At 47.1% G+C, this 13,773-nt stretch overlaps 1 pseudogene, besides 2 other annotated features; it reads right to left on the bottom strand.

The window, feature by feature from the left end:
• Positions 1,364–1,568: a silencer, noted in NCBI's record as "fragment chr17:75916395-75916599 (GRCh37/hg19 assembly coordinates)". NCBI's record gives its function as "represses an EF-1alpha promoter that drives an FKBP-Casp9 reporter gene in an ReSE screen in phorbol 12-myristate 13-acetate-treated (for megakaryocytic differentiation) K562 erythroleukemia cells {active_cell/tissue: K562(+PMA)}" and the evidence as "EXISTENCE:reporter gene assay evidence [ECO:0000049][PMID:32094911]".
• Positions 1,623–1,783, bottom strand: RNU1-80P (RNA, U1 small nuclear 80, pseudogene; annotated as a pseudogene).
• Positions 4,717–5,238: an enhancer, noted in NCBI's record as "H3K4me1 hESC enhancer chr17:75912725-75913246 (GRCh37/hg19 assembly coordinates)". NCBI's record gives its function as "activates a minimal SCP1, AML or CMV promoter by ChIP-STARR-seq in naive H9 embryonic stem cells {active_cell/tissue: H9 hESC(naive)}" and the evidence as "EXISTENCE:reporter gene assay evidence [ECO:0000049][PMID:30033119]".

Below are 13,773 nucleotides of genomic sequence, written 5' to 3'. Positions count from 1 at the left end.
CCTGCGCTCCCTCTGCAGGCTCTTGCTAGGCATTCCTTGCCTTGTCGTTTCCAGCTCGTAGAGGCTGCACTAGGGACTTACTTGGAGTCTGTGCTGGTTTTGAGCCTGCATTCCTTGGCTCAGGGCCCCTTCCTAAATTCTCAGAGCCCTTCACTCCAATCTCTGCCTTCGTGGTTACACAGTCTCCTCTGCTCTCAAGTCTCCCTCTGTCTTCCTCTGACTAGGATCCATTTGATGACTCTTAGGGCCCACCCAGATAAAACAGGATAATCTCCCCATCTCAAGTTGCTTAATTTAATCACATTTGCAAAGTCCCTCTTTCCATATACGGTCACATTGAAAGGTTCTAGGGATTAGGACCTGGATTTTTGGGGCCTCATTATTCAGTCCACCACAATTACCAAAAATCCTTTTGTTGTATGGGGAGTGGGTTAAAAATGACCTACACTGGGTGTGAAAATGAGGCCTGAGGCATGGCACTGCAGAAAATGCCTGTGGACAGCAGGTTCTGTTGTAGATGAGATGACATGTGTGCCTGTGCATGTGGGGTGTGTGTGTGTGTGTGTGTGTGTGGGGTCCATAGGCTTGATTGTGAGGTGTGCAAAGGGTGAGTGTGGGGCTATTTTGAGGGCTATAAAATGCAGTCCTCCTTCAGGGTCAAGGCTATTTACACTCAGCACCTGTAAGGCCTTTATGTTTTGTGCTTATGAAGACTTTTCCCGGCACACACATCACTTGTTACCACCTGACATATGCCATGATACAGACTCAGTCTGGTTCATAATTCACTGAGAGCCTGCACTCTTCTTGGTTTTTTTTCTTCTTGAGATGGAGTTTCGCTCTTGTTACCCAGGCTGGAGTGCAGTGGCACGATCTCGGCTCACTGCAACCTCTGCCTCCCGGGTTCAAGCGATTCTCCTGCCTCAGCCTCCTGAATAGCTGGGATTACAGGTGTGTGCCACCACGCCCAGCTACTTTTTGTATTTTTATTTTTTATTTTTATTTTATTTTATTTTATTTTTTTGAGACGAAGTCTCGCTCTGTCACCCAGGCTGGAGGGCAGTGGCATGATTTCTGCTCACTGCAAACGCCATCTCCTGGGTTCACGCCATTCTGCCTCAGCCTCCCAAGTAGCTAGGACTATAGGTGCCCACCATCACTCCCGGCTAATTTTTTTTTTTTTTGTATATTTAGTAGAGATGGGGTTTCACCATGTTAGCCAGGATGGTCTCGATCTCCTGACCTCGTGATCTGCCCGTCTCAGCCTCCCAAAGTGCTGAGATTACAGGCGTGAGCCACCGCGCCCGGCCTACTTTTTGTATTTTTAGTAGAGACGGGGGTTTCACCATGTTGGCCAGGCTGGTCTTGAACTCCTGACCTCGGGTAATCCACCCGCCTCAGCCTCCCAAAGTGCTATGATTACACACGTGAGCCACTGTGCCTGGCCACATCTGTATTTTTAGTAGAGACAGCGTTTCACCACGTTGGCCGGGCTGGTATCGAAATCCTGACCTCAGTTGATCCACCCTCCTTGGCCTCCCAAGGTGCTGGGCTTACAGGCGTGAGCCACCACGCCCAGCCTCTTCTTTTTTTTAATATTAGAAAAAAAAAAAAAAAACCCACAGGGGAAAGCGCAAACACAGTCCCCCCCACTCCCCCACCGATTATGCAGTTGAATTTCCTGCATTTGGGAAAATTGCAGGGGTCAGCACACCTGGAATGTGAGCCTAACCCTGGGAAAACCACCTTTGTGATCATGGTGTCTCCTCTGCCAGGTAAGTATGCAGGGTACCCTTCTAAACGTGGGGACTCAGCAATGAACATGCAGACAAAATCCTTGCGCTGCGGCATCCATGTCACATCTGTGTCTGTTTCTCTCACTCATAGAATGTATGCGCCTCGAGGGCAGGCACTTTTTCTAATTAATTAGGAGTTATCTCCCTGGAAGATTGTCGACAAGTGGCAGAACTCAGTAATATTTACTAAACAGGTCCCATCGGGTCCCTCTCTGCGAGGTAAGAATTTAGAGTTACGATTCTCCAAGAAAAATGTCCCTACAGGGCACATAGAGGGAGCTTCTTGTTTCTGTCTCACGTGTCTGTGTGAAGAGACCACCAAACAGGCTTTGTGTGAGCAACAAGGCCGTTTATTTCACCTGGGTGCAGGCGGGCTGAGTCCAAAAAAGGAGTCAGCAAAGGGTGGTGGGATTATCATTAGTTCTTTTAGGTTTTGGGATAGGCATTGAAGTTAGGAGCAATGTTTTGCTGGCAGCGGGTGGATCTCACAAAGCACATTCTCAAGGGTGGGGAGAATTACAAAGAACCTTCTTAAGGGTGGGGGAGATTACAAAGAACCTTCTTAAGGGTGGAGAAGAAACAAATCACAATGGTGGAATGTCATCAGCTAAGGCTATTTCCACTTCTTTTGTGGATCGTCAGTTGCTTCAGGCCATCTGGATGCATACGTGGAAGTCACAGGGGATATGATGGCTTAGCTTGGGCTCAGAGGCCTGACAGTTTCCACATTGTTTTTTGTGGCAGTGCTATTGTTCTTCCCTAGAGTTTTCTCAGAGTCTTGCATTCTAGTGTCTATTGTGGATCCAGGTCGAGTTTTGAACGATTAAACGTGAAAGGCTGACAGATAATTTAGTTAAAATGTCTCGACCTAATAATGGAGCTGGGCAGGTGGGGATAACTAAAAAGGAGTGCATAAAAGAATGTTGTCCAAGTTGGCACTAGAGTTGGGGAGTTTTAAGGGGTTTAGAAGCCTGGCCGTCAATACCCACAACAGTTATGGAGGCAAGGGAGACAGGCCCTTGAAAAGAAGGTAATGCTGGCCGGGCGCGGTGGCTCACACCTGTAATCCCAGCACTTTGGGAGGCCGAGGCGGGCGGATCACGAGGTCAGGAGATCGAGACCATCCTGGCTAACACGGTGAAACCCCGTCTCTACTAAAAATACAAAAAATCAGCCGGGCGTGGTGGTGGGCGCCTGTAGTCCCAGCTACTCGGGAGGCTGAGGCAGGAGAATGGCGTGAACCCAGGAGGCGGAGCTTGCAGTGAGCCGAGATCACACCACTGCACTCCAGCCTGGGCGACAGAGCAAGACTCCCTCTCAAAAAAAAAAAAAAAAAAAAAGAAAAGAAAAGAAAAGAAAAGAAGGTAATGCGGATCCTTGGATGGCTCAGTTGCTGTTTTGCCGAGATACATACTAGGTGCCATGAAATCCATTGGGCTGGAAACATGGCCTTGGAAGAAATAATTTTCCCCAAATCATTGGATCAGAAAGACTTCCATTTGCACTTCCTTCTAATGTTCCCCTTTTCTCAAACAACACTTGCAGCCTCAGCACCCTTGGATTGCTCCCCAGTGATGCTACCTGTAGGGAGGCGAAGGAACAAGGGAATGAATGTCTCCACCTTCGGGCACGTGTTGGTCTCCAGGCAAACTCAGCCTGCTGCCTTAGCTTCATTTGGGGGTCTGATTGTATTCTAGCCCTGCAGAAAGGAGGACTTCATATTTCACTCCAGGTTTCAGGATTCAATTCAGAATCTTACTAATTCAGGGTAAAAACAAAACAAAACAAAATGGGGAGAATTTACAGAGAAGTGTTAGAAGCAACTCAAAGCCCAGACACTGCTCCTTTAGTGATGCCCCTTTAGAGATGTAAATAATCTAAATTTTCAGAGGGCAGAACGCTCTGTCCTTCCCTGGGGTGGAGCGGGAAGGAAGAGAGGCCCCCCAGAGGAACACCGGGCCTACCAAAGAACAAGCCCAAGGGGACAAGAGCCAGAACAAAGGAAGTGCGATTCAACAACATCCACCCCCGAAATGGACATCAATTGAGGTTGAGATTCCATCCTGGGGTTCTGACGATGCAAACCATGAGAACGAAGCTAAGGGAGATTTCTAAATGTCATCAATGGGCTTCTCTGTGGAGTTATAGCCTTGTTATTTATCATGCACTGTTGGGAACATTGAAGTCCTGTGTTCGGCAGAGCTGGAGTACTTTCAGGAGGCTTTCCTGCTGGGTTTCTCACCGCATACGTGTGAGCGGTTCTTCGTAGAGTTCCCAGAAATGGGAGGGGAATTTCTACTTTCTTCTTGCAATTCTTGTAGTAATTCTTCTAATAATTCTTTTCTTTTTTTTTTTTTCTCCTGTCTCAGCCTCCCGAGTAGCTGGGACTACAGGCGCCCGCCACCACGCCCGGCTAATTTTTTGTATTTTTAGTAGAGACGGGGTTTCACCGGGTTAGCCAGGATGGCTAATAATTCTTCTAATCCTCCTCCTCCTCCTCCTCCCCCCCCTTCTCCTTCCTCTCCTTCCTTCTTCTCCCTTCTTCATTCTCCTCTCCTCCTCCTCCTTCTCCTTCTCCTTCTTCCTTCTTTTCCCTTCTTCATTCTCCTCTCCTCCTCCTCTCCCTCCTCCCTCCTCCTCCCTCCTCCTCCTCCTCCTCTTCCTTCTCCTTCTTCTCTTTCTTCTTCATGCCTGTCTTCCAGGATCATACCAAACCAGGAGGAACACGGCAACAGGAGGGAAGCACAGTGAATCAGGGATGGTGTCAGCCCCTGCTGGCTCAGGACTGTGATTTGGGGCACTGCAGCACGCCTGCAAGGGTCACTCTGCATAAACCTGGCACTGTGGGAAATGGCTTACCTACCTGTGACCTGAAAAGCTCCATGTGTGTGGCCCATGGGCCTGGGGTTCAGGCCAAAGCCCCTCCCCACCACTGTTCCGAAGCCTGAACCCCACGTCTCAGCTCCTGCAGCTACTCCTCTACAGCTTAGAAAAGAAAGCCGCGTGTACGCCACGGCAAATCTGGACAGCCACAGCCTGGCTGTATTTCACCTTTATGCCTGCTGAGCTTCCTTCTGCTTTCAGAATGGGGAAATTCAGACGTCAATCTGAGCTTTCCAAGAAGTTTCAGTTCCGTTTTTTAGACTGAGAGGAGGCACACGGATAGGTTTTGCCCATATGATGATATGTAGGCAATAGGCAGGTCAGGTGCCCCACACCACTGCTCTCCAGCAAGGCTGCGGCTGCGATGCTCTCTGCTTTCCCTGGAGAGTCGGTCCTGTCTCCCTCCCTCTAATCTGACCCATTCGTATTGCTATGCGTGAACTTTTAACCAAGGGTTTGCCACCTCTTCATTATAACGTGGCTCTTACAGAGAAACTGCATTAAAAATGTGAAGCTGCACACCAACGACACGGCTGTGCAAACTCAATTCTGTAAAAAATATTCTGTTTAATTGATTTTCTAAAAAAATCTATTATGTTTCTGTGAGCCTATTGATCTGCAGCTCCACAGAAGTAATGAAGAAGCTTTGTAATCAATAAGCCCAAAGCATATCTTACCCAGTATCTCTTCTGCCGTCCGCCAAGGGCGTGACTGGCCGATTCCCCAGACAGCATCGTGAGTGTGAGCAGCCTTCTCTGTGTCTGTGGAGATTGATTTCTCTTGGCATAAACATAACAAATGAAACCCTGATGACTTTTCTTGCTCTGAAAGCCAAGGATATATCATATCAGTCATCATGAAACACACAAGAACACAATTTGCAAAAAGAAAAAAAAAAGAAAAGAAAAACGATGCATTTTTAACCTCAGTGCATTAACTCCTCCCCCATACTTAATCAGGATAATATGTTACTCCTGAGCTCTTACGATGGTCTTCTTTCTTTTATATCCACGCCTACCCCCCAATTCAGGTTGATTTCACAAGTCTTAGGATGTTTTTCTGTTTTGGCGGTGAATATAAAGTACAGGTAGCTGCAATCATGGGTTGATAATACTGAGTTGAGCAAACATTGCTATCTTATCCTCTAGAAAATAATAATGTCGAATGAGATAAGATGCCTGCAACACACACAAGCGGCGGTCGGGAAATATGGCAGACCCCATAGGGCAGCATTTGCTGGGGAAAGAAGAGCTCCTTGCCCCAGATAAGTAATCTTGGTTGCTGATTATTTCCAAATGTATCATTTGCATTTTGCCCTTAAACCAGAGGACACCGCCTAGGGTGGATAGTGATCTGATGCTGTGCAAACTCACCCTGCCGCATTAACAGATTTAAAGCAAACCTTTTTCAGGGCTAACCCTGTGCTGACCAATCACCACCTGGTCCAGAGAAGTTGGTTGCTGCAGCTGACTGGGTTGGGCGTGTGTGGTGCAAAATGAGATTGCCAGATCAGCAGGGACCAGATCCTGAAGGACTTTGCCTGAGGGCACCGGGGAGCCATGGAGGGATTTTTATGAGGGGAGGGAAGTGACCAACTGAGCAACTTTGTAGCCATCACTTGCTACCGTGTAGAACTGCAGTCCTCAGGCCCTTTTTCTGCACACCTAAAAATAATAATGATGGTGATAATAATAATGTTAACACACTGGACCAGGCTGCGCTCCAAGTTTTGCATGTAGCAACTCATTTAATCTTCACAACAACTCTGCAGGGAGCTCCTGTAATTCTCCCATTTTACAGATGAGGAAACTGAGGCACACAGAGAGGTCCCATGAGACAGGTGCCCGTCCCAGGAACCACACTCCCTTGGTCTGGCATGGGATTATACCCCTCTGTTCTCAGCTCTCAGGAATGTGTGCTGAATCGGAAGCACCCAGTGAAGATGTCTTTCATGGAGGAAAAATGACCTCGACTCAGTTCAAGTTTGTGTTCTAAAAAGCAAATCACTTGGGTAAAGTGGAATGGTTAGTAAGTAATTTCATGTGTATATCTTCCAGTGGACAAAGACCAACCTGATTTGGAGAGTGGAGTGGAAGTGGGGCAGCTGCAGAGAAAAGGGCAGGAGGATGGTGCAGTCTTAGGATGGTGGGGCGGGGGGTTTGGTGCCAGGCTCAGGATGGTGAGGGGGAGTGGGGAGTGAGGGGCTGGGCCCAGGTGTCCACCTGGAGTGGCCGGCGGATGGTGGTGCCGTTCAGATATACCTGCCGCTCGGGGCTAACCTGTATTTATCCCATCATTTCAGCCATTCACTGAGCGCCACCTCTGGGCAGCACTCTGCTGCGCCAGGTGCTGGGCTGAGGCAGTGACGCTGGGGATATTCGGGGAGCAGAGAAAGAGGAATTGAAGATGGATTGAAGAGCTGAACAGTTGAAATGGGTGCAAAAGAGAAATTCTGAGAGCTGCGTACGTGGTTCTATGAAGCATGTGTATACGCCATGCGCGTGTAAAAAAAAGTAAAACATTTTACATTTAATATCTCACTTCATCCTTACAACTAGCACAGAGGGAGGTCCTACTGGAAGATGGCCAGTCCCCACTTGCCTGCTAAGACAACTCCCTGAGTTGGCCCCCTTCGGAGAGTTGGGTTTCAGAGAATTGGCGTTGAGCCTGGAGCCCAGCTTGGAATCTGAGAGGGGGAGAGGGAGGACCCAGGGAATGGGAGTGGGAAGTAGAAGGGCACATTTCTTGTGTTGGGTCAGTGCCTGTCTTGGGGTGTTGGGATGGCTTCTCAAGTTGGAGCCCCCACCCCCAAGTGTCATGTGGTTCTGCTCTAAATCACTCAAAGCCCTGGAGCTTCATTCTGTCCAGATGACAAGACTGGGAGGCAATTTATTAACACAGTGGTCCCACGGGGGTGCCTCTTTGGCCTTTGGCACCAGAGGTTCTCAATTGAACGGCACACTAGAATTTTCGGGGGACCTTTTAAAACCTTCGATGGCTGGGCCGCACCTCGACCTGTTGGATCAGGGTCTCTGGGGTGAGGCCTGGGCACCCCCAATTTTTTTTTTTCTTTTGAGTTTCGCTCTTGTTGCCCAGGCTGGAGTGCAATGGCGCGATATCAGCTCACTGCAACCTCTGCCTCCTGGGTTCAAGTGATTCTCCTGCCTCAGCCTCCCAAGTAGCTGGGATTACAGGCGTGCACAACCGTGCCTGGCTACTTTTTGTATTTCTAGTAGAGACAGGGTTTCACTATGTTGGTCAGGCTGGTCTCGAACTCCTGACCTCAGGTGACCTGCCCACCTCGGCCTCCCAAAATTCTGGGATTACAGACGTAAGCCACCATGCCTGGCCTTTTTTTAAATTACGAATTTTGTTTATTTATATTATTATTATTTTTATTATTACACTTTAAGTTCTAGGGTACATGTGCACAGTGTGCAGGTTTGATACAAAGGTATACATGTACCATGTTGGTTTGCTGCACCCATCAACTCGTCATTTACATTAGGTATTTCTCCTAATGCTATCCCTCCCCCAGCCCCCCACCCCCTGACAGGTCCCGGTGTGTGATGTTCCCCGCCCTGTGTCCAAGTGATCTCATTGTTCAGTTCCCTCCTATGAGTGAGAACATGTGGTGTTTGGTTTTCTGTCCTTGTGATAGTTTGCTGAGAATGATGGTTTCCAGCTTCATCCATTCATCCATGTCCCTGCAAAGGACATGAACTCATCTTTTTTTCTTTTTCTTTTTCTTTTTTTTTTTCTTTTTTGAGATGGAGTCTCGCTCTGTCACCCAGGCTGGAGTGCAGTGGCACGATCTCAGCTCACTGCAAGCCCCGCCTCCCGGGTTCATGCCTTTCTCCTGCCTCAGCCTCCCGAATAGCTGGGACTACAGGTGCCCGCCACCGCGCCCGGCTAATTTTTTGTATTTTTAGTAGAGACAGGGTTTCACTGTGTTAGCCAGGATGGTCTCGATCTCCTGACCTCGTGATCCGCCCGCCTCAGCCTCCCAAAGTGCTGGGATTACAGGCGTGAGCCACCGCACCCGGCAAACTCATCCTTTTTTTAATGGCTGCCTAGTATTCCATGGTGTATATGTGTCACGTTTTCTTAATCCAGTCTATCATTGATGGACATTTGGGTTGGTTCCAAGTCTTTGCTATTGTGAATAGTGCCACAATAAACATACGTGTGCATGTGTCTTTATAGTAGCATGATTTAGAATCCTTTGGGCATATACCCAGTAATGGGATTGCTGGGTCAAATGGTATTTCTAGTTCTAGATCCTTGAGGGATCGCCTCACTGTCTTCCACAATGGTTGAACTAATTTACACTCCCACCAACAGTGTAAAAGTGTTCCTATTTCTACACTTCCTCTCCAGCATATGTTGTTTCCTGACTTTTTAATGATTGCCATTCTAACTGGCGTGAGATGGTATCTCATTATGGTTTTGATTTGCATTTCTCTGATGACCAGTGACGATGAGCATTTCTTCATGTGTCTGTTGGCTGCATAGATGTCTTCTTTTGAGAAGCATCTGTTCATATCCTTTGCCCACTTTTTGATGGGGTTGTTTGTTTTTTTCTTGTACATTTGTTTGAGTTCTTTATAGATTCTGGATATTAGCCCTTTGTCAGATGGGTAGATTGCAAAAATTTTCTCCCATTCTGTAGGCTGCCCGTTCACTCTGATGGTAGTTTCTTTTGCCATGCGGAAGCTCTTTAGTTTAATTAGATCCCATTTGTCTATTTTGGCTTTTGTTGCTGTTACTTTTGGTGTTTTAGCCATGAAGTCCTTGCCCATGCCTATGTCCTGACTGGTATTGCCTAGGTTTTCTTCTAGGGTTTTTATGGTTTTAGGTCTAACATTTAAGTCTTTAATCCATCTTGAATTAATTTTTGTATAAGGTGTAAGGAAGGGATCCAGTTTCAGCTTTCTACATATGGCTAGCCAGTTTTCCCAGCAACATTTATTAAATAGGGAATCCTTTCCCCATTTCTTGTTTTTGTCAGGTTTGTCAAAGATCAGGTGGTTGTAGATGTATGGTGTTATTTCTGAGGCTTCTGTTCTGTTCCATTAGTCTACATATATGTTTTGGTACTAATTCCATGCTGTTTTGGCTACTGTAGTCTTATAGTATAGTTTGAAGTCAGGTAGCATGATGCCTCTAGCTTTGTTCTTTTTGCTTAGGATTGTCTTGGCAATGCGGGCTCTTTTTTGGTTCCATATGAACTTTAAAGTAATTTTTTCCAATTCTGTGAGGAAAGTCATGGTAGCTTGATGGAGATGGCATTGACTGTATAAATTACCTTGGGCAGTATGGCCACATTCATGATATTGATTCTTCCTATCCATGAGCATGTAATGTTCTTCCATTTGTTTGTGTCCTCTTTTATTTCGTTGAGCAGTGGTTTGTAGTTCTCCTTGAAGAGGTCCTTCATATCCCTTGTAAGTTGGATTCCTAGGTATTTTATTCTCTTGTGAATTGTGAATGGGAGTTCATTCATGATTTGGCTCTCTGTTATTGGTGTATAGGAATGCTTGTGATTTTTGCAAATTGATTTTGTATCCTGAGACTTTGCTGAAGTTGCTTATCAGCTTAAGGAGATTTTGGGCTGAGATTATGGGGTTTTCTAAATATACAATCACGTCATTTGCAAACAGGGACAATATGACTTCCTCTTTTCCTAACTGAATACCCTTTATTTCTTTCTCTTGCCTGATTGCCCTGGCCAGAACTTCCAACACTATGTTGAATAGGAGTGGTGAGAGAGGGCATCCTTGTCTTGTGCTGGTTTTCAAAGGGAAGGCTTCCAGTTTTTGCCCATTCAGTATGATATTGGCTGTGGGTTTGTCAGAAATAGCTCTTATTATTTTGAGATAAGTTCCATCAATACCTAGTTTATTGAGAGTTTTTAGCATGAAGGGCTGTTGAATTTTGTCGAAGGCCTTTTCTGCATCTATTGAGATAATCATGTGGTTTTTGTCATTGGTTCTGTTTATGTGATGGATTATGTTTATTGATTTGCATATGTTGAACCATCCTTGCATCCCAGGGATGAAGCCAACTTGATTGTGGTGGATAAGCTTTTCGATATGCTGCTGGATTTGGTTTGCCAGTACTTTATTGAGGATTTTTGCATCGATGTTCATCATGGATATTGGTCTAAAATTTTCTTTTTTTGTTGTGTCTCTGCCAGGCTTTGGTATCAGGATGGTGTTGGCCTCATAAAATGAGTTAAGGAGGATTCCCTCTTTTTCTATTGATTGGAATAGTTTCAGAAGGAATGGTACAAGCTCCTTTTTGTGCCTCTGGTGGAATTCGGCTGTGAATCCATCTGGTCCTGGACTCTTTTTGGTTGGTAGGCTCTTAATTATTGCCTCAATTTCAGAGCCGTTATTGGTCTATTCAGAGATTCAACTTCTTCCTGGTTTAGTCTTGGAGGGTGTATGTGTCCAGGAATTTATCCATTTCATCTGGATTTTCTAGTTTATTTGCTTAGAGGTGTTTATAGAATTCTCTGAAGGTAGTTTGTATTTCTGTGGGATCGGTGGTGATATCCCCTTTATCATTTTTTATTGCATCTATTTGATTCTCCTCTCTTTTCTTCTTTATCAGTCTTGCTAGCAGTCTATCAATTTTGTTGATCTTTTCCAAAAACCAGCTCCTGGATTCATTGATTTTTTGAAGGGTTTTTGTGTCTCTATCTCTTTCAGTTCCACTCTGATCTTAGTTATTTCTTGCCTTCAGCTAGCTTTTCAATTTGTTTCCTCTTGCTTCTCTAGTTCTTTTAATGTGATGTTAGGGTATCGATTTTAGATCTTTCCTGCTTTCTCTCGTGGGCATTTAGTGCTATAAATTTCCCTCTACACACTGCTTTAAATGTGTCCCAGAGATGCTGGTACATTGAGGCACCCCCAATTTGTATAGCCCCCCTCAGTGATTCTCACCAGGTTGCAGCCAGATCCAAGGCCCCCTGGGATTAGCCATCGATCACACTTAAACATTAACACCCCAGATAGAACCACCCAGGAGATGCAGCGTGAGGACAGGGAGAGGGGGCCTGGCGGAGAAGGGGAAGGGGCAGGAAAGCCTCCAAGACCAATCCCCGTTTCCTCCCACGTGGCCCAGTGAGGGAAGGCCCACAGGCCGGTCGCTTTGGTGGAGGAGAATTGCGTGTGTGCCTGGCATGGAAAAGGCACTCCCCTCTTGTGTGCCAGGTGTGTGGCTGGATGGGGTGTGGGACGTAGGGGTGGAGCGGAGGATGGGGGTGGCTCTGGGGTGGCGGGCTGGCTGCCCAGGCTTTCTAGCTGATGTTTGCAGGGCCCCCTCCACAGGCTGCGGGTGCGGCAGGTGGGATGGGGAGGTGGCCAAGGAAGTTAGGGGGTCTCCCGTTAGCCTTGAGAGGGCAGGTAGCCCTCCTCACCCTTGTTTCCTGCTTATCATCCTGACCACTACATTCTTGAATTTCACAGGGAACGACGGTGGAAAATGAGAACCACGTTCGTGTAAAATTAGAGACTGGATGGAGATCCAGCCTGGAACACAGTTTGCCACCCGCTCTCGAACTGAGAAGCTGAAAGGCTCTCGGGGTCCAGAGGGAGTCGTTAGGACTTGCAGTTCTTCGCTCAGCTCTCCAGAAGAATCCCTGCTCCAGCCTGGCTGGCGTCCCAGCTCTGGACTCCAGTTCTCTGGTGGGGCGGGAGTTCTTGGTCAGGACCCCGGGCACCTCCTCTACATCTGCACTCCTCTGACTGGGAGCCGCCTCCCTCTCACGCTGCTTCTGGCTTCCTGGCCTGGCTCCTTTCCCCGTTGGCACCACTGGCTGTCCTCCCGGACGGCGCTTCCTAAACGCGGCTCCGGCATCTGATGCGGGTCTGTGGTTGGAGACAAGATGAAAAGAACCAGGACAGAGTGGCGAGTTTCTCACAAAGCTGGGCGCGGTCCTTTCAAGGACAGCTCTGTCTGCTGAGAGTACATCCCTTCTACCTTTTGGTGTTAGAAAGTGCTTTATTTTGTAAAACAATAGTGATGTGGGACGGCAAATGCTTTGAAAATGATACTTACTCAGAAAACGAGGGGGTCATCCGTGTTCATTCCCTATGTTTCTGTTTTGAAATTTATCGCCTAGAGGAAGCCAGGTGATGTCTGAGTTGGGCGTTTCATCTTGGGGTGAGGTGTGGGGAGGGCAGGGCTTCCAGGCAGGTGGGACAGTGTTGAAGTGGGAGCGGGGAAAGGGCGGTGCTGTGGGGACCCCAAGTTACCCTTTCTATGCCTTGATTCCTACCAACCTATGCTTTGTGGAGATTTCATCCAATAGGTGCTACATGGGCACCTACTGTATGAAAGGCACCAGGCTAGGTCCTAGGGACAGACACCAAGGTATAGGAGCCATGGTCCCTGCTCTCAGGTAAGTGAGCCAGGACAAAAGGCAGGCCAAAAGTGTCACTTGTCAGGAAACAAAGTGCCAGGAGGCTTCAGAGAGTGGGAGCACTGCCAGCATCTCCGGGCCCTCCAGCTTAGTCACGGTGTTCCCTGGGGTGAGTGACGGGGCCTCAAACCCCTTTCTGTTAAATGGGATAAAAATCTCTATACTTCAAGGGCAACATGTGGGTAATTTCATTGCCTGAGGCAGATACATGCATATGGGTGTGTGTGTATGCGTGTGTGTGCATGTTTTACATGTAAAACCCACATCACCCACATTTGACAACTGTTTTGTTGGGTTTGTATGTTAGCTTGTTTTTTTAAAAAATCACTCTTTGGTGGTGAAGACCATAGTAGGTTAATGTTGCACAGGTGTGGAAATAGCTGTGTTATTGTGAATCTTTAGAGTTCGCTGTAGCCCTTGTTTTGACTTATGGCTGGCGTGTGTGTGTGTGTGTGTGTGTGTGTGTGTAAGGAGAGAGAGAGAGAGAGGCAGAGAGAGAGAGGATATGAATGGTCTGGAATAGAATATGGTTCCTAGCTTCTTGTATGATGTGTTTTCTCTTGGCCTGAGTTTCTAGTGAGATCAGCCAAAAGAGAAATCAGAATAAAATAGGATTCCCTGGTAGAAGGGAAAACAGCGTTCAGGGCATGTGATATTGTTTAC

This window comes from Homo sapiens, chromosome 17 (genome assembly GCF_000001405.40).
Source record: "Homo sapiens chromosome 17, GRCh38.p14 Primary Assembly".
Lineage (NCBI taxonomy): Eukaryota > Metazoa > Chordata > Mammalia > Primates > Hominidae > Homo > Homo sapiens.
The sequence above is the reverse complement of the archived record's forward strand: the minus strand, read 5'-3'. Positions and strand labels throughout refer to the sequence as shown.